General features: G+C 40.4%; 1 protein-coding gene across 5 annotated transcripts in view, besides 2 other annotated features; it reads left to right on the plus strand.

Moving 5' to 3' along the window:
* TGS1 (trimethylguanosine synthase 1) overlaps nucleotides 1–17672 on the plus strand; it is a 53000-nt gene extending 35328 nt beyond the window's left edge. For 2 of the 5 annotated variants that reach the window (NM_024831.8, NM_001363184.2), the window contains 3 exons: nucleotides 2108–2324; nucleotides 4267–4345; nucleotides 15808–17672. In NM_024831.8, the coding sequence (NP_079107.6) occupies nucleotides 2108–2324; nucleotides 4267–4345; nucleotides 15808–15930 (419 nt within the window). In that variant the 3' untranslated portion in view covers nucleotides 15931–17672. The remainder of the gene's footprint in view (nucleotides 1–2107; nucleotides 2325–4266; nucleotides 4346–15807) is intronic. The other 3 variants (XM_006716485.3, NM_001317902.2, XM_017014004.2) reach the window with 2 other exon arrangements.
* Nucleotides 9024–9224: a silencer, noted in NCBI's record as "peak7024 fragment used in MPRA reporter construct". NCBI's record gives its function as "represses an SCP1 promoter by STARR-seq MPRAs in K562 erythroleukemia cells {active_cell/tissue: K562}" and the evidence as "EXISTENCE:reporter gene assay evidence [ECO:0000049][PMID:32103011]".
* Nucleotides 10082–10131: an enhancer, noted in NCBI's record as "active region_27377". NCBI's record gives its function as "activates an Ori minimal core promoter by ATAC-STARR-seq in GM12878 lymphoblastoid cells {active_cell/tissue: GM12878}" and the evidence as "EXISTENCE:reporter gene assay evidence [ECO:0000049][PMID:35858748]".
* Nucleotides 17673–20340: the final 2668 nt, after the last annotated feature.

Here is a 20340-nt window from a genome sequence, read left to right on the forward strand (position 1 = left end):
TGCTGGGATTACAGGCATGAGCCACCACCCCTAGCCTGTAGTGGGGTCCCATAATTTGCCCCCCAAACCAGAAGTGGTAATTCACAGGTGTTCCATGAATGGCAGTTATCAATACTCCTCCTAGTATCCCCGTAGGATAGTTGAGCTAATGACATTATGGCAAGGAATTCAAAACAGTTAAAGTATAATTGACTTAGTGTGTTTGTGTATACATATGTAAGTATACACATATAATCAATTACACTTAACTGTTTTGAGTTCCCTATCATAATGTATGTTCATGTGTGCTTATATACACATTCATATAATCAATTATGCTTGAACTGTATGTGTATTTATACATTTACATATATACGCAACATACATACAAAAAGATGGCATTGCATATAGTTGAGGTTATTCCTTTGTGCCAGATTTATTTCCACTCAGATATTTGCTGTCTGTGCATAACTAAAGGGTTAGGGAATCTGTAAAGTTTTGCATATTGCTGTTGTTAAAGATATCTTTCCCTTTTGTATGTGTTCCAGTAGTTTAGCAACAGTACTGCGTGGTAGAACTCTTTGTGATGACTTATATGTTCTATATCTGTGCTGTCCAATATGATAGCCAGCTAGTAGCCACATGTGGCTATTAAGCTGTCGAGGTGTGCTAGTGTGGCTGAGGATTAACATTTGTCAGCATTTTTTTTTTTTTTGCAGTTGTGGGGTGCAGGTGTTTCGCTCTGTCACCCAAGCTGGAGTGCAGTGGCACAGTCTCAGCTCACTGCAATCTCCTCCTCCCAGGCCCAAGTGATTCACTTAAACCTCCTGAGTAGCTGGGACTGCTGGCACATGCCACCCCACCTGGCTAATTTTTTGTGTTTTTGATAGAGATGGGGTTTCGAACTCCTGAGCTCAAGGGGTCCACCCGCCTCAGCCTCCCAAAGTGCTGGGATTACAGGCATGAGCCACCGTGCCCAGCCAGCATTTCTTTTATGTGATAGATTGAATGCTTCCATTCTTATTAGGCCTAAAAACAAAGTCTGCCTCCAAAAGAAATACAGATGAAAATAGGATTAACTGAATCGATTTGATGTTGAAAGTCACTTTTTCTTTTGAATTTTTAGTATCATCAGCATATCTTTCCATCTGTCTCTGAACTATAAATGTAACAGACTGAGCAACTGAAAAGAATTTTTTCTCTTACAAATGTGAATGTTTATTTAGAACAGGAAAAACACCATTATAAATGTATGATTTTGCAATATGTTATAATTGGTGCTTATATTTATTGTTCAAGTGATTTAGCACATTATTTCTCAAAAATGTTAACAAATTTGGAAACTAGCATTTTCTGGAAAACAATTTCCATGACAACCACGCCGTAAGCGTAACGGTTACACTTAGCCCTTTCAAATGAAGAATACTGCCATTAACACAGTAGTGCACATGCAAGTATACTGAGTAGTTTACTGCAAAACATGGATAGGCTAAAATTAAATTATGTCTATGTTGCTAATTATAAAATTGGAATAAAGTAAATGAAAGTCCATTTGGTGAAAACATAATATCTGTTTCCTCTACCTAAAATGTCTCATTAAACATTATCGGCAGGTGTTTTTACATTTCTTCTTCATCACTTGGCTACATAAGTTTGTAAAAATGTGTTTTATTTTGGTTTTCCTTAGAAGTTGTCGAATTTCTGTTCATTTTGGGCATTGCTACATTTTGAAGAAGTTTGTCTTTTCCAAAACCTAGCATTACAGGCTGTCCATACAGTCAGTGACCTTTTCCTACTCAGGCTGTAGCACAGCACAATGGTGGCCACATATTTGGCACTCAGTAGATATTTTGTGGCAAGTATTGCCACTTGGTTAGGAAAAGCTGTAGAATGAGACAAGAAAGCCAAGTCCTTCAGTCACATTTTCTTGGTACAACACAGTGAATCTTTCTAATTTAAATAAAAAATTTAAACTGAAGTCTGTATCTCGGGTATATGTGGCCAAATGTCTCCTCCTCTTTATAAAGAGTTCTTATACAGAAGATGACAGACTATTCGAAAGACAAACTATCCTATATAAGTAATAATCAGTGTCAATTAACTCATTTTTTTCTTTTCCCACTTTTAGTGATTGCCATTGATATCGATCCTGTTAAGATTGCCCTTGCTCGCAATAATGCAGAAGTTTATGGGATAGCAGATAAGATAGAGTTCATCTGTGGAGATTTCTTGCTGCTGGCTTCTTTTTTAAAGGCTGATGTTGTGTTCCTCAGCCCACCTTGGGGAGGGCCAGACTATGCCACTGCAGAGACCTTTGACATTAGAACAATGATGTCTCCTGATGGATATCCTTTGGAAGTCTTAAGAGTTTACTGAAACAATGATTGTGGAGAGAAAGGAGCATGAGAGTGAGAGAGGGAGTGTGGGTGGGTGGGCAGGGTGGCTCACATTTGTAATCCTAGCACATTGGGAGGCTGAGGCAGGTGGATCACCTGAGGTCAGGAGTTCGAGACCAGCCTGGCCAACATGGTGAAACCCCGTCTCTACTAAAAGTACAAAAATTAGCTGGGCATGGTGGCACATGCCTGTAATCCAGCTACTCGGGAGGCCGAAGCACGAGAATCACTTGAACCCAGGAGGCAGAGGTTGCAGTGATCTGAGATCGCGCCACTGCACTCCACCCTGGGTGACAGAGCGGGACTCTGTCTCAAAAGAGAGAGAGAGATTGGCCAGGCACGGTGGCTCACACCTGTAATCCCAGCACTTTGGGAGGCCGAGGCAGGTGGATCACGAGGTCAGGAGATCGAGACCATCCTGGCTAACACGGTGAAACCTCATCTCTACTAAAAATACAAAAAATTAGCCGGGCATGGTGGCACGCGCCTGTACTCCCAGCAACTCAGGAGGCTGAGGCAGGAGAATCGCTTGGACCAGGGAGGCCGAGGTTGCAGTGAGCTGAGATTGCGCCACTGCACTCCAGCCTGGGCAACGGAGCGAGACTCCATTTCAAAAAATAGGGAGAGAGAGAAATTAGTGAAGAGAGGGAGTATTACCTAACAGCATTTGATAAATTCTAGTTTATTTTACATAAAAAGCAGGTATGTAAAAATTATGTGGGGATCGATCTCCAAAAGTAATGACAAATATGAGGTCATATTTCCGTTGCTTGCTATTCAATTTTACCATTATAAAACAAGGACTAGAACACATACATTGGACTTATTGTCTTGTGAATTGGGAATTTCCTGAAAAAGTATCCCTGGAGTTTGTCGGTAACCATTCTGTAACTCTTCAATTCACACTGATGCTGGCTAATTTGCTGTGTATCTTCACATTTTTCCTGTTACTCTTCCAAGACGTCGAAGCAAACCCTTATTTCATAGAGTAACGTTTGTTATTTGTCACTTTCGCCACCTGCCTCTCCACCGTAATCATCTGTTTGACTCTTAACAGGAAAGATATTTCTAAATTGCTATTAAAATTTAGAGTGTACTCCGGGATATGCTGGGTCACGCCTGTACTCCTGGCACTTTGGGAGGCCAAGGCGGGCAAATCATTTGAGGTCAGGAGTTCAAGACCAGCCTGGCCAACATGGCTGAACCCCATCTCTACTAAAAATACAAAAATTAGCTGGGCATGGTGGTGGGCACCTGTAATCTCAGCTACTCAGGAGGCTGAGGCAGGAGAATAGCTTGAACCTGCCACTGCACTCCAGCCTGGGTGACAGAGCAAGACTCTGTCTCAAAAAAAAAAAAAAAAAAAATTACAGTGTAAATTAGCTGGGCATGTGGTGGTACATGCCTGTAATCCTGTAGTCCCAGGTACTCGGGAGGCTGAGGCATGAGGATCTCTTGAACCCAGGAGGAGGTTGCAGTGAATTGAGATTACGCTACTGCACTCCAGCCTGGGCAGCAGAGCCAGACCCTGTCTCAAAAATAAATAAGCAGAGCCAGACTCTGTCTCAAAAATAATAAAATTAAAAATTAAAAAATAAAATTTAGAGTGTAGACTGCAATGGCCATGGTTACTTTATTCTGACTCTTGCCTAGTACCTACCACTAGGATAATTGAAATCGATTCAACTGTCAGTCTTTGAATTATGGAGACAATATTTTGCTGAATTACAAAATTTTGTATGTAATTCTCTTTTAGGTTCCATTAGAGGGTTTAAGTTTTTGCCTTTTAGTTACATTTTGAAATACATTTGAGTTATGATAAGTAAAACACATCTCTTTCTGATTAGAAATTAGCTGCTGTTTTCATTATTTTTCCTTAACTGCTGTCCACCTTTGAAATTTTCAGACTTTCTAAGAAGATCACTAATAATATTGTTTATTTTCTTCCAAGAAATGCTGATATTGACCAGGTAAGCCATTACTGAAAAACTTCCATGAGTGTCTGTCTTAACTGTTACAAGTACGGTAAAAGATACAGGACATATCCTTACCAGAGAATGTGTTTATGAGAAGTCCCTGACTCACTGACTATTCTTAGAAAGCTGGAAGTATCTGGAAGTTAGATCCATGTCTATTACATCGTCTTCATTTCCATAGCTCCTGGCATACATAGACACAAATAGAGCACTCTAGGCTTTGACTAGACATATTGAAAGGATGATTGAATGTGTTGTGCTTCAAATGCTGCATAGTTAAACTAGCCTTTTTTTATTTGTTTCAGCCTGGGCAACAAAGTGAGACTGTCTCAAAAAAAATAGAGAGATTTGATGATATCTTCATTTCATGTTTTTGTTGATTTTTCTACAAACACTTACTACATATCTGCTTTGTGCCAGATACTCTTGAAAATCTTTTATCTTTCATATTCTGAATTTCACTGTAATGTTGCTAACTGGGTTTTTCCTTTCTCTCTTATTTGATACTATCAGAACTAGCCCTAGTATTCTGATGTTTTTTGTGTTTTTTATTCAGGAGATGCTATCTCCATTATTTCTTCAACTATGTTCTCATTGTCTTTTTTCCTTTCTCTGGGACATCTATTATAAGAGAATGTTAGTCTTTCCTATCTATATTTTCTAGTGTTTGTCGCTTCCTTTTTCCTTCTACATTACCTCTATCAGGTTTTCCAACTCAGGCATTTCTATTCTATTATGAAGTCCAATTTATCTTTCTTCATTGTGTTGCCTGTGCTTTAGAGTTTTATAGTTTTTGCTGAGTAGCGCTTTTTTTGTTGTTGTTTTTGTTTTTGTTTTTCTTTTGAGACCATATCGCTCTATCACCCAGGCTGGAGTGCAATGGCCCAAACACGGCTCACTGCAGCCTCAACTAACTGGGCTCAAGCAGTCCTCCCACCTCAGCCTGCTGAGTAGCTGGGACCACAGGTACACAGCACCATGCCCAGCTAGTTTTTTTATTTTTTATAGAGATGAGGTCTCACCATGTTGCCCACACTGGTCTCAAAATTAAAGGCTCAAGCAATCCTCCTGCCTCAGCCTCCCTAAGTGCTGGGATTATAGGTGTGAGCCACCACGCGCAGCTGAGTAGCTTTTTAAAAAAACTACTGATACTGTAATCCACTGGGAAAGATTCTCTGTTTTCTAGGATGAGGCCCGAAAGTTAATTTTTAAACTGCCCAAAGTGGTTGTAATGTTCTCCAGAGTTGAGATTCTCTGGGTTAAAAGAAGAGTAAATGAAATTAACAAGCCTGAGCTCTTATTGTTAAGCAATGAAATTAGATCTTGCTGCCTTTCATCCGTTTATGATCCATTGTGTCTAAACATTAGGCCTCCCAAAATATTAATAGTATGTGTTATACCAGTTATAAGAAAAAGGGGCTGGGTGTGATGGCTCAGACCTGTAATCCCAGCACTTTGGGAGGCCAAGGCAGGCAGATCGCTTGAGGCCAGGAGTTGACCAGCCTGGCCAACATGGCAAAACCCCGTCTCTACTTAAAAAAAAAAAAAAAATATATATATATATATATATATATGTACACACACATACACACAAATTAGCCGGGCATGGTGGCGGCGTGCCTGTAATCCCAGCTACTCGGGAGGCAGAGGTTGCAGTGAGCCGAGATTGCGCCACTGCACTCCAGCCTGGGTGACAGAGTGAGACTGTCTAAAAAAAAAAAGAAAGAAAGAAAAACGAACCATCTCTTTGCTTCATGAGTTTTCTGAATTAAAGTTCATATTAAACACCAGGTATTTTATATCTACTTCTCATATGATTCAGAGCTGCTTTCTAGACTGCCAGATAAGGTTGAGCCTAACAATTCCATAATTTCTGTTTTTCTCATATATGAATATTATGCTCTACATCGTCTCATCAGAGACGATGTGATCCTTATATTAAATGTAGACAGCCTCATTTGAGTACTTGAATAACGAGAGGAAATTCACTGTTTATCATGCAATTTATGCTGATTAACTTTTTCTAGTTACATTAACACTTTCACAAAGAGAAAGTTAACTTTTTAATTTGTGTTTTTGGTTTATTTCAAAAACTTTCCAGAATTGGAGTTGGTGATTCATGTTTTTTTGCCTCTAGAGGGAGTAATGACACTAGGGAATAATGAAACCAAGAAAGACTGATGAGATTTCAAGTGTATTAATTTTTTTTGCTATCAAATTTTGATCAGATTACAGTGGGAAATCAACTTTTTTTTAATGAAGAAAATGTATCCGTATGTAGGACCTTTTTAATGAGAGGAGACAGTACTAAAAATTGAGAGAAATCACAGTTGCAAAGAAAATTAACTTTTTTTTGTTAAGGAACTTTTAGAATGTTACAACAACCTGAATTTGCAAATGGTTTGGGATCCCAAGTGTGTCACTGTCTGCTGTTTGAAACTCAGGCTGCATTTTTCTCATATGAAGGACAGTTAATTTCCCATCCAGGGAGATTGTACTCTTAGATAATATTTATATCATCCTAAACAGCATGGATTCAATACAAATACAACTTATCTCAAATATTTCCATGTAAGAGGTGATGCTAATTGTTTCCTGTATCTAGTGAAATGTTTTCCTAGGTCCCTTATTACCTCAATCTTCTATTCCTTTTTTCTATTTGGAGATGATTCCAAGACATGCATTTCTTGCTAAGAACTGAGTAATTTAGAAAAATATCTTTTTGTGAGAGGCTCTTTGGAGGTAAGGTATATACCTTACTCTTGAAATTGCTGTTGAAACCCAAGGACTAATTTTTATTTATTTATTTATTTATTTATTTATTTTATTTATTTATTTATGGAGATAGGGTTTCTCTCTGTCACGCAGACTGGAGTGCAGTAGCAGTAGCATGATCATAGCTCACTGCAACCTCAAATTCCTGGGCTCAAGTGATCCTCCTGCCTCAGCCTTCTAAAGTGCTGGGATCTCAAATCCAATTCAAAAAGCCCAGAGTAAGCATATTTTATCTGCTTGATGCCTGTATCTTGCCATGCTTTCCTTTCTTTCTTTCCTTGGACAGCCAGAGAATTCCAGCTAATTCTAGCTTTGGATCTACCATGCTTCACAAACATGAAAGGTTTCTCTCTTAAGTGGTAAACCTATTGAACATATTAATAGATGGAAATCTCTGAACAGACAAGGACTTAGTCCTTCCCAAAGGAAGATGCAGGCAGCAATTATCAAACACCACCTTTGTGTGAAATCCTTGTGGGTGGAATCTCTGACATAAGGAGTCTTGTCTCTTAGCCCAAGGCAGGAATGAAGAGAGGAAGTCTGCTGGTCTGTTTGATATGGCAGCTTCTCATCCTTGTTTAATTTTATAATTAGACATAAAACATCTAGTCTCAGAAAAGCAATAGCGTTTGTACTTTTCAGGTAAGATAAGTTAAGTTACTTATCTTTGTCATGGTATGTATCTTACCAATACAGAGAGCAGGGCAACATTAAGCAACATCCCTAAGAATTATGTTTAAAAAATGAACTGTATCATGTTAATTCCTGGCCTTTGTCTGGCAGACATACTCCACCCTTCCATGGCTTCCCCAGGCACATGTCATGTAACATTTGGGCAAGGCAAATCCTACCTTTTTTGTTTCCTCATAAAGCGGAGAAGTTTACAAATTAACTAATACTTAAATAAATGCTAAGTATAAAATTGATGTTAGATTTAATAATGGAATTCATCTCTATTTTATTTATTTTTTTTTTTTTTGAGACAGAGTCTTGCTCTGTTGCCCAGGCCAGAGTGCAGTGGTGCGATCTCGGCTTACTGCAACCTCTGCCTGCCTCCCGGGTTCAAGCGATTCTCCTGCCTCAGCCTCCCAAGTAGTTGGGACTGCAGGCGCACACCACCACGCCCAGCTAATTTTTGTATTTTTAGTAGAGACAGGGTTTCACCACGTTGGCCAGGATGGTCTCGATCTCTTGACCTCGTGATCTGCCCGCCTTGGCCTCCCAAAGTGCTGGGATTACAGGCATGAGCCACCACGCCTGGCCCTCATCTCTCCTTAGTTGGCAGAGTACTTGAGGCTCCAATTGTCTTTTTATATTTTGTTCTCTGATGTCTAGGAAGGGAAATGTTCCTCATTGTAACAGTCACTTCTAATACTTTATTTTGGTAGGTAGGTAAGTAGATAGATAGATAGGTCGATAGGAATGAGGTACTTATTTATAGGTAATATTTCTAAAACTTACCATATATAAGAATAGAGTTGTAAGTATTTGAATAATGTATTTGAATTTGAATAAATATGAAAAACTATTAGGTAATATTGTTATGTGGAAAATGTTTTAAATATAACTAAATTCAGTTTATTAGCATTTGTAGTGGTTTTGGCTAAATACAATAAAAATTTATCACAGATTTCTTTGCAAATATTCTAAGTAGTTATAGTATCTGTGTATTTAATAAATAGAAGATTGGGTCCTAACTGGTTTCTAAATACTAGATTTTTTTAATTTGTGTCAAATTTTTCTGAATTAAGTTAATATAGTGGAAATCTAATCTAATGGTAGCTCTCTCGTAGAGGTAGAGAACATTAGTCCAGGTTTAGGAACCAGAAGCATGAGAGAATAAAAAGAAGGCTAAGAACTGGATTGGGCTTCTGGTACATGTTGGAATAGTAGACTCCAAACTAGTTACTTGAAAATAGCCTTTACAACTCAGAGCACTCACAAGTGCATTCATCCTACTACACTAACAATACCCTGCATTCATACACTATACATCTACAGCATAGGAGCTGGCACACACACTTAGGGTGTACAGTGTCCTCTTAGCCATTTCATTGACTCATCATGACATTCTGGAGCAGTGTGTCTCTGGAGCACCTGATTTCATTGAAGGCTATGGAGGTATGGTGATTTGCCTGGTCATTCTGCCACACAGCGACAGTCTTATTACACCTTGCTGTCTCCCACTGACACAATGTTCATTACCAAGAAGAAACAGATTTATCTGTTATCACAATATTAGCTCACCATGAGATTGGAGCAATAAGTAGAATTTGACTCTTTCAGTAACTGGTTACCAATTTTTTTTTTGAGACAGGGCCAGGCTGGAGGGCAGTGGTGTGATCACTGCTCTCTGCAGCCTCCCAGACTGAAACAATTCTCCCACCTCGGTCTCCCGAGTACCTGGGACTACAGGTGTGCACCACCACACCCAGCTAATATTTATATTTTTTTGTAGAGATGGGGTTTCACCATGTTGGCCAGCTATTCTTCACCTCAGCATCCCAAAGTGCTGGGATTACAGGTGTCAGCCACCACGCCCAGCCTGATTCCCAGTTTTCTAGACCAACTCTGTTCTTGGTGAAATCAGTGCTTAATCATACACTGCAATTCAGGATAAATATATGATCAGTTCCTAATATTTACTAGCCAGCTTTTCCCTTGGGAAGTTTGCTGCTGCACAATTAGAGCAGAATCGTTTGTTCTTAAACCATATATATTGTCATGCTCTAGAGGGGTTGTGGAACTGATTGGCCTCATAGTTGACTTGGGAAGACACAAATGCAGCTTTGCTGAAATGCTTCTAAATATAGCTTGTATCTCCTTCACTACTGTGGGTAACTTTTCTCCGTAAATGATGGAGATAGAAATTAGAGGGATATCCAGCTCTTCTGGGCCACACATAGTGCTACCTGCCAGTCCTGTGCTGATAGCCTGTGCTTTCTGTAATTTGTTGAATTGAACAGTCTTCATGTTTCCAGTATCTGGTTCTGAGAATGAGTGAAGGACAGAGCTTAGTGAACTGGTTGTTTTTGGGTTTTGGTGGGGTTTTTTTCTTCTTTGGAGACAGAGCCTCGCTCTGTCCACAAGGCTGCAGTACAGTGACATGATCACAGCTCACTGCAGCCTCAACCTCCCAAGCTAAAACAATCCTACCTCAGCCTTCAGAGTAGCTGGAACCATATGCATGGGCCACCATGCCTGGCTAATTTTTTTATTTTTTGTAGAGACAGGGTTTCACCATGTTGCCCAGGTTGGACTTCTAGGCTAAAGCAATCTTTCTACTTCAGCCTCCCAAAGTTCTGGGATTACGGGCATGAGCCACCGTGCCCGGCCTGGTAGCCTCCTCTTAGGACACCAGTGTAGGTTAGCTTGTGATGCCTGGGAGATTTTTTTTTTTTTTTTTTTTTTTTTGAGATGGAGTTTTGCTCTTGTTGCCCAGGCTGGAGTGCAATGGCCTGATCTCAGCTCACCACAACCTCCACTTCCCGGGTTCAAGCAATTCTCCTACCTCAGCCTCCCAAGTAGCTGGGATTACAGGCATATGCCACTATGCCCGGCTAATTTTTTTTTTTTTTAGTAGAGACGGGGTTTCTCCATGTTGGTCAGGCTGGTCTCGAACTCCCGACCTCAGGTGATCTGCCTGCCTCAGCCTCCCAAAGTTCTGGGATTACAGGTGTGAGCCACTGTGCCTGGCTGCCTGGGAGAATTTTTTTGACCTGCCACCAGGTGCTCCTGTTGATGATGGTGGCTTTAAGATTTATTTACGGAAGCATAGAAATCTCATTTCTGTTTACCATGTGCAGAGAAATGGAACTAATTTAATGAATATTTTTAAGTTTGAATGATGCCTGATTTTCTGCTGACTAAAAAATATTTTCTTCTTTCACCTCCCAGAGAACTTTTAATTACCAGAAATGTTTTGCCAACTTTGTTTTATTTTCATGTGGTTATTAGTTGGATCTAGCAAAAGAAAAGAGGGACAAAAATAACTAGTGGCAAAGCACTTTCTTGGCCTGTGTGACATTAGGTTTGTAGTCACAGCCAGTATTTCAGATGCTTGCTGCTGCTAGCATTGTATTTGACACAGATCTGAAGGCCACATAAAATGCTCTTTATTTTTACCTGGTACAATTATCTTCTAACCACATTTCTGCGTATCATAGATATAATCTCTTCCATGTAGTAATAGGGCATTTTTCAGCGCTCTGATGTTTCTGTGTCTTTCTTGTAATAAAGTGTATCTGTCATTAGTAATTATTATCTATTCTTCCAGTAGGATGCAGTTGGGAGGTTATTTTCTCTCATTCGGTTATCGTGCACTTTTACTTTAAATCCAGTTTCTCTTGAAAAAATGCAGTTTTGCTCCAGGCGCAGTGGCTTAAGCCTGTAATCCCAACACTTTGAGAGGCCGAGGCGGGCGGATCACCTGAGGTCAGGAGTTTTGAGACCAGCCTGGCCAACATCGTGAAACCCTGTCTCTACTAAAAATACAGAAATTAGCCAGGTGCGCCAGTAATCCCAGCTACTCGGCAGGCTGAGGCAGGAGAATCGCTTGAACCCAGGAGGCAGAGGTTGCAGTGAGCCGAGATCATGCCACTGCACTCCAGCCTGGGCGGTAGAGCCAGACTCGTCTCAAAAAACAAAACAAAACAAAAAAAAAGTGCAGTTTTGAATGTTTACCTTTTTATTTGATGCTTAAATCTTCTGTGCTTTAACACCTTCATTGTGATCTTTTCTGTTTCTCCTTTGCCAGTCCCCAAAGAACAGCTTTACTGCCTGATGTCAAATCTAGTCAAGAGTTCAGTCCTTAATTCTAGTTCTGGTCCAAATTAATTGGGATTTATTTTGGTAAAATTAATATATTTAGGTAATATGCCAAAAATGTGGAAAGTAATCCAGAGCTGCTAATCTTTATCTGTTTGTACCTGCCGTTCTCCCTCTCTCTGTCCTTCCTACCCTCTCTTCCTCTCACAATTTACTAAATTCTAAGAAAGCGGAGGGAACCAAATAATATTTTGTCAGCTAAACCTTCTAGTGAAAAATAAGGACAGCTAGAAATTAATGGCATTCATTAAATTTGCCTGAAGCAAAGTTATTTGCTTGAACTACTAAATTTATAAGTCTTTCCAACTCCAAAATTCTAACTTTTAACATATATGTAGTTGTGAAAATGTGAAAACGTACAAAAAGGCTAAAGTTAGAAATTATTCGTAATCAGAACACTTGAAAGTAACATGTTAAGTTTTTAAAAAAAAATTGTTTCTAAACACTAAGTACATAAGAGTTTTCTCACTATATTTTGTCACATAGATACACCACCTTCTCCATTATCAGGAACAATATTTGTTTTATTTGTCCGTCATCTGACTCTCCCAGCCAGAATGTAAAATTCATGGAGGTGGGGATTTCTTGTTTGTTTTTTGCTATACTGCACTGCCTAGAACAGATACCTATAAGCTCTCAATAATAGTTATTGAGTAAAGTAATTTATGAACTGTTTTGCACAGACTTCAGAACTCATGATTTCTGAGAAAACCCCCATCTTACCTCCGTTTTTTATTTTAATCCCAAGCACCCACATCTAGACAACCCTCTGAAAGGTATTAAGAAAAACAAAACTACCCTACCTTCTCAGAAATTGGTTTTTATGGAATTCTATTTATGGCTTATATAAGAAATAATAACCATCGGCCAGGCACGGTGGTTCACGCCTGTAATCCCAGCACTTTGGGAGGCCGAGGTGGGTGGATCACGAGGTCAGGAGATCGAGACCACCCTGGCTAACACGGTGAAACCCTGTCTCTACTAAAAATACAAAAAATTAGCCGGGTGTGGTGGCGGGCGCCTGTAGTCCCAGCTACTCGGGAGGCTGAGGCAGGAGAATGGCATGAACCCAGGAGGCAGAGCTTGCAGTACTAGCCGAGATCACGCCACTGCACTCCAGCCTAGGCAGCAGAGCGAGACTCCATCTCAAAAAATAATAATAATAATAACTATATTTATAGTACCTTTATTTTTTTTTTCAAGTAAACTTCAGAAATGGTTTTTCTTTTCTTTAAAATGCTCTTTTAGGGAGATAGACAGTATTCATATTTTCGGATTTAGAAAGCCAAAAAAAGCCTATTTTAATGGCTTTCTTAACAACAACAATATTGGCTTTTTTTTCTTTCTTTCTTTTTTTTTTTGAGGCAGAGTCTCACTCTGTCGCCCAGGCTGGAGTGCAGTGGTGCGATCTCAGCTCACTGCAAGCTCCGCCTCCTGAATTCACGCCATTCTCCTGCCTCAGCCTCCCGAATAGCTGGGACTACAGGCGCCCGCCACCACCCCCAGCAAATTTTTTTGTATTTTTAGTAGAGACGGGGTTTTACCTTGTTTGCCAGGATGGTCTCGATCTCCTGACCTCGTGATCCACCCTCCTCGACCTCCCAAAGTGCTGGGATTACAGGCATGAGCCACAGCGCCCGGCCTAAAAATGGCTTTTTAAATTAATGCAGCAAATTATTGGTAGAACTGGGGATTTTTAAGTTATTTGTTAAAGGGCACAGCAGAAATGCTACATTTGAGTTATATCTCAACTCAAAGAAAAATTATTGTGAAAAAATGATAAACTGTTCAAAATGCCTTTTATTGGCTAAAGACAAAATACCTTTTTTTTTTTTCCCCCTTTCTTGTAAAAAAACCAGACTGGCATAAAGATACCAAAATAGAATTTAAAACATTTATTCCTAATAATTGCTACTCTGAGACTACTTTGCTATTTTTAAATTTCTAGTTTTACTTTAAGTATTCCTTACAAAAAAAAATAGTGGGGGGGGTGCTTTTAATCATTATAAGGAATACTGTATTTGACTTATTTTCACATAATAAGGTACCATAGAATGACTGGTTGCTTCTTCCCTATTTCTGTGTCTGACTTTTTACATACTCACTGGAAATGCACAATAAATCTTCCCTTCTACCAGAAGCTGGGGTGGTATGCATAATACCACTGAGATTACATTCTCTCAACCCTTAAAACCAAACCAGACTGACTGCCTCTCTTTACAAAATACACAACTATAATTTTGCTGATTACAGTTACAGAAAATGCTTGTTTCTCGTTGTTTATGCCTGTCCCTAATACTTTGGGTGTCCTTTTTTCTATTGCTGTGTCTTCTATTCTCTGATTGCCAGGACTCTCCACTGCATTCTCTCTTCTCTTGATCTTTCCTCTTACTGCCCTGAAAAACTGATCTCTGGTGAAGTAATCATGAGTTAGAAAGTAACGTATTTGCTATTTAAAAGATTTCTGAGAGGTTGGGTGAAGAAAGTACTGAACCAAAACAAAACCTTATCTGTATAAGAACTTAGGGTAAAACATTTCTAGTTTACAATGTACCAAGGTGAGTGCAAGCATTACTGTCTTGGAACAAAAGAATCTTTAGCAGCTAACTGCCCCATCCCCCTGTCAAATGCTGGTCATTTGGCTAGCATCCTTTTGATGCTAACTGTGGAAGTGGGGAGGGAGCAATGCTTTCAGCTTCCTAATAAAGGAGTTAGTCACTATATTCTAGTAGACCTCATAAAGAGCAATATATTTTTACCACAATTGTTGTAGAAAGCATTTAAAATACACAAAAGGGCAACAGGTAGAAGAAGTGATCCAAGGTGGGAGAAAAGAAAGGAGACCAGTGAGAGAAGGAAAAGTCACTAGAGGCTAGACTCCTCATGAGAGTAGGGATCCTGGCCTGGATCAGAGCTAGGATTATGTAGCAGGAACTCAGTAAATACTGTTGAATGAATGAGAGAGAGGGTGAGATGCAGATGGTAAGATGAACAGGACAAAGGCTTTCAGGAAAGGGAAATAATCTTTAAATATTTTTGTTAAGAAATAAACCTGGGGAGGAGGAGGAAGGAAGGTGAGAAAAATAGTAATAATATTTTAAAAATAAACCTAGGCCGGGCACGGTGGCTTGTAATCCCAGCACTTTGGGAGGCCGGGCCGAGCGGATCACCAGGTCAGGAGTTCGAGACCAGCCTGGCCAACTTGGTGAAACACCATTTCTACTAAAAAAAATACAAAAATTAGCTGGGCATGGTGGCATGTGCCTGTAATTCCAGATGCTCAGGAGGCTGAGGCAGGAGAATTGCTTGAACCCGGGAGGCGGAGGTTGCAGTGAGCCGAGATCGTGCCACTGAACTGCAGCCTGGGCGACAGAGTAGGACTCTATCTCAAAAAACAAAATAAATAAATAAATAACATGACTTTGGGAGGCAGAGGTGAGAGGAATGCTTAAGACCAGGAATTCAAGACAAGCTTGGGCAACACAGTGAGACCCTGCCTCTAATGTTTAAAAATAAAAATAAAAATTTTTAATAAACCGGATGTTTGGGAAGGATTTGTTCATTTTTTTCTTCCTTTGAGTTCTTTAGCTATGGCATTGGAGAGTTCAAGTCCTATACAACAGCATAGCACCATGAACTTTCCCATAATATCAAAAGGATCTGAAACAACAAGTATTCCCACCTCCAAATATTGCATCGATGCCTGGGAAGTAGCAGTGAACATTTGAGATGCCTCATTATTCAAAGGACTTAAAAGCCAGAGTCTTCCTATTATTTGATAAAGCAGTACAAGTGAAAGACTTTTGAAATTATGCTTAGGTGTGTGTGTGACTTTCTTCTGTTCATCTTTTTAGGTGGCATCCTTAGCTGGGCCTGGAGGGCAAGTGGAAATAGAACAGAACTTCCTTAACAACAAATTGAAGACAATCACTGCATATTTTGGTGACCTAATTCGAAGACCAGCCTCTGAAACCTAACTATGCAGCAGTGCGAGGACAAAAGATCATGGAGTGGTCAAAATATTCAGATGAGACATTTGGCATGTCTTCCTTTATTCACTGATATTTTCTACCCATGGTCTTATATCACCGTATGAAATGGAAACTTACAGGACTTAAATATCAGTGAAATATTTTGAGATCTTTGAATAATTCCTTTAGAGGAATTATACAAAATTAATATATATGAGTCCTTTGTAATTTATTTTTTTTTGAGACAGGATCTCACTTTTACCGCCCAGGCTGGAGTGCAGTGCCATGATCACAGCTCACTGCAGGTTCAGCCTTCTGAGTTCAAGCAATCCTTCTGTCTCAGTCTCCTCAGTAGCTGGGGCTTTAGGTGGGCACTGCCACACCGTACTAATTTTTGTATTTTTTGTAGAGACGAGGTCCCACCATGTTGCCCAGGCTGGTGTCAAACTCCTGGGCTCAGTCAGTCCCCCCATCTCACCCTCCCCAAGTGCTGGAATTACAGGCGTGAGCTACTGTGCCCAGCCTTACGGACATCCTTTTGAATTATCTTTTTCACTCATAGAATATGAATACATTTATTTAGACTTTTTCTAGAACTTTCCTGTTTTCATGTCTTTGCTTCATCTGGAATTGGCTTAACACCCTTTTATAAAGTTTGTGTTTGTAAAATTTCCATTGTGACATCAATACGCAATATATTTTGTAATATAGGAGTTTCTATTTTTTTATTAAAATGGCAATGAAAGCAAGAGGGATATGTGTTGCTTAATTATTCATCTAAAAAGTTTGTTCAGTCATTTTTACAAGTAGGCAAAAAAATAGTGACATACAACACTTGTCCATTGAAGGTTAGACCTGGGACTTCTATATTTTAATAATATGAGCGTGTTAAACATTAAACAGAACATGATACTGGCTGGGATAAGATTAGAGAATTGAAACAAATTTGGGGAATTTCCAATAAATACTAGAAAATTAGACTAGAAAAATAGCTGTTATATAAATAACTTTGTTGGAATATGCTAATTTTAGTGTCTTGAAAGTTTACAATTTATCTGATTGCTCTGCAGTACAGTAGCAACTGAGCTGATCAATAAAGGTGAAATTACTTTTTCATTAATTCGCAATTTCAAAATCTGTCCAAATGTTCTTGGTTTTTAAACTTTATGTAGCATTCTTTTTTTTTTTTTTAGACAGAGTCTTGCTCTGTCGCCCAGGCTGGAGTGCAATGGCGTGATCTCAGCTTACTGCAACCTCCACCTCCTACCTCAGCCTCCCGAGTAGCTGGGACTACAGGCACCTGCCACCACATCCAGCTAATTTTTTATATTTTTAGTAGCTATGGGGTTTCACCGTGTTAGCCAGGATGGTCTCGATCTCCTGACCTTGTGATCCAACCACCTCAGCCTCCCGTAGTTCTGGGATTACAGGCGTGAGCCACCGCGCCTGGCTTTATGTAGCATTCTTAAAGTCACTAGGGAGATGGCAGGTGAAGTAAAGGCAGATTTCCAAAATCACTAATTTTTTTTAGTTTTTTGTCACTTAACCTTTCTTGCATATACTTCTTTCCACAGCTCATTTTCTTACTTGTATATTAATAAAGCTAACTCATCTTCCTGAATATACATGATTTTACATGAGAAGAGCAGGAAGCTTAGGCTTGGTTAGCTAAAACTAAGATATTGCTGCCCACTAATCACACAGGGATAAAACTAATAGACTGTTAAGATTGTCAGTACTCAATAGGATTTAAGAAGTGTTCTAGTCTATTGTGTGAATCAGGTTCCAAAAAATCTTAAATACATAAAATGGATAAAAAGGCTGGGCGCCGTGGCTCACGCCTGTAATCCCAGCACTTTGAGAAACCCAGGTGGGCGGATCACCTGAGGTCAGTAGTTCCAGACCAGCCTGGCCAGCATAGTGAAACCCCGCCTCTACTAAAAATACAAAAATTAGCCAGGCATGGTGGCACATACATGTAATCCCAGCTACTCAGGAGGCTGAGGCAGGAGAATCGCTTGAACCCAGGAGGCAGAGGTTGCAGGGGAGCCGAGATTGTGCCACTGCACTCCTGCCTGGACAACAGAGTGAGACTGTCTCAAAAAAAATAAAATTGTTAAAGTACTCCCACATTTTCATTCCCCTGTGAGACCCCTATCTCAAAAAATAAGTACATAACCATAATTGGTTAATGTTTACAGCAATTCTCATATATTTGTACCATGTCTATTAAAAATGATAGTACAGATTGATATGTATGTATTTGGAGATGGGGGCTCACGCCTGTAATCCCAACACTTTGGGAGCCCGAGGTGGGCAGATCAACTGAGGTCAGGAGTTCAAGACCAGCCTGACCAGTGAAACCCCGTCTCTACTAAAAATACAAAAATTACAGTGGTGGCGCAAGCCTGTAATCCCAGCTACTCAGGAGGCTGAGGCAGGAGAAATTCTTGAACCCGGGAGGCGGAGGTTGCAGTGAGCCAAGACTGCGCCACGGCACTCCAGCCTGGGTGACAGAGCAAGATTCTGTCCCAAATAAAAATGCTTTTGATTTTTGTGTCTTTCAGTCATCTTACTGACCTCGTTTAATAATTCTAGTAATTTTTGTTACCCCCTCCCTCCACCCCATAGTTTAGTTTGTTTGTTTTTGAGACTGAGCCTCACTCTATCGCCCAGGCTGGAGTGCAGTGGCGCGATCTCGGCTCACTGCAAGCTCCACCTCCCAGGTTCACGCCATTCTCCTGCCTCAGCCTCCCGAGTAGCTGGGACTACAACGCCATTCTCCTGCCTCAGCCTCCCGAGTAGCTGGGACTACAGGCGCCCGCCACTGCGCCTGGCTAATGTTTTGTATTTTTAGTAGAGACAGGGTTTCACCGTGGTCTCGATCTCCCGACCTCGTGATCCGCCCGCCTCGGCCTCCAAAAGTGCTGGGATTACAGGTGTGAGCCACAGCACCCGGCCCCCCACCCCCCGCCCCATAGTTTTTTGTTGTTTTTTTTTTTTTGAGACGGAGTCTAGCTCTGTTGCCCAGGCTAGAGTGCAGTAGTGCCATCTCGGCTCACTGCAAGCTCCGCCTCCCGGGTTCACGCCATTCTCCTGCCTCAGCCTCCCGAGTAGCTGGGACTACAGGAGCCCGCCACCACACCCAGCTAATTTTTTTGTATTTTTGGTAGAGACGGGGTTTCACTGTGTTAGCCGGGCTGGTCTCGATCTCCTGACCTCGTGATCCGCCCGCCTCGGCCTCCCAAAGTGCTGGGATTACAGGTGTGGGCCATCGCGCCCGGCCACTCCCATAGTTTTTAATTGATAACACACTTTGATTTTCTAAATAAGCAGTCATGACATCTACACATGAGTTTTTCTCTTTGCTAAAATGTAAGCCTCTTAATTTTTATCCTTTTCCTGTTGCATTGGTTAGGATTGCCAGGAATATTGTAATAACAGCACTTGTTCCTTTTTATTTTGCAGTGAGAGGTTAGAAGCATTTCTATTAAATGTTATGTAGTTCACATCAAAATTAAGATATTGCCTCTCCTATTTTTTTTTTTATGTTAGGCTTCCTCAATCGGGTTCTACTTTCTTATTTAATGTAGGAAAGTCTAAGTTACTTTAAAATTTTCAAATTATTTAAACCTATTTGTGTTCCTTTAAATCCGACTGTACATAATGTATTAAATAGTTCACTACTGGATTTCATTTGATACATTTGCTTTGTTTTGTTTTGTTTACGTTTGCTTTTGAGCACCTTGCCTGGTTTTGGCATCCAAGTTAAACTATTCTGGCAGAATGCTTTAGTAAGTCTTTCATTATTTTCTTCCCCTCCCCCCCCCCCTTTTTTTTTTATAATTTTCATTTCACAGGTACATGTGCAGGTTTGTTACATGGATATATTACCTGATGTTGAGATTTGGGCTTCTACTGATCCCATCACCCAAATAGTGAATATAGTGCTCAATAGAGTTCTGTGTCCTAAATAACATTGGCAATGTCTGTTCACTGAACTCTTGGTGGGACTGCATGAAGATTGGGCCTGGTAACTTTCTGAGCAACATGTTTTGATTGCAGCTTTTTTTTTTTTTTTTTTTTTTTTTTTTTTGAGATGGAGTCTTCCTCTTTCGCCCAGGCGGGACTTCCGTGGCGCTATCTCGGCTCACTGCTAGCTCCACCTCCCGGGTTCACGCCATTCTCCTGCCTCAGCCTCCCGAGTAGCTGGGACTACAGGCACCCGCCACCACGCCCGGCTAATTTTTTTTGTATTTTTAGTAGAGACGGGGTTTCACCGTGTTAGCCAAGATGGTCTCGATCTCCTGACCTCGTGATCCTCCCGCCTCGGCCTCCCAAAGTGCTGGGATTACAAGCGTGAGCCACCGGGTCTGGCTTTTTTTTTTTTTTTTTTTAAGACAGGGTCTTGCTCTG

The sequence above is a fragment of the Homo sapiens genome, chromosome 8 (assembly GCF_000001405.40).
Source record: "Homo sapiens chromosome 8, GRCh38.p14 Primary Assembly".
In the NCBI taxonomy this organism is placed as follows: domain Eukaryota; kingdom Metazoa; phylum Chordata; class Mammalia; order Primates; family Hominidae; genus Homo; species Homo sapiens.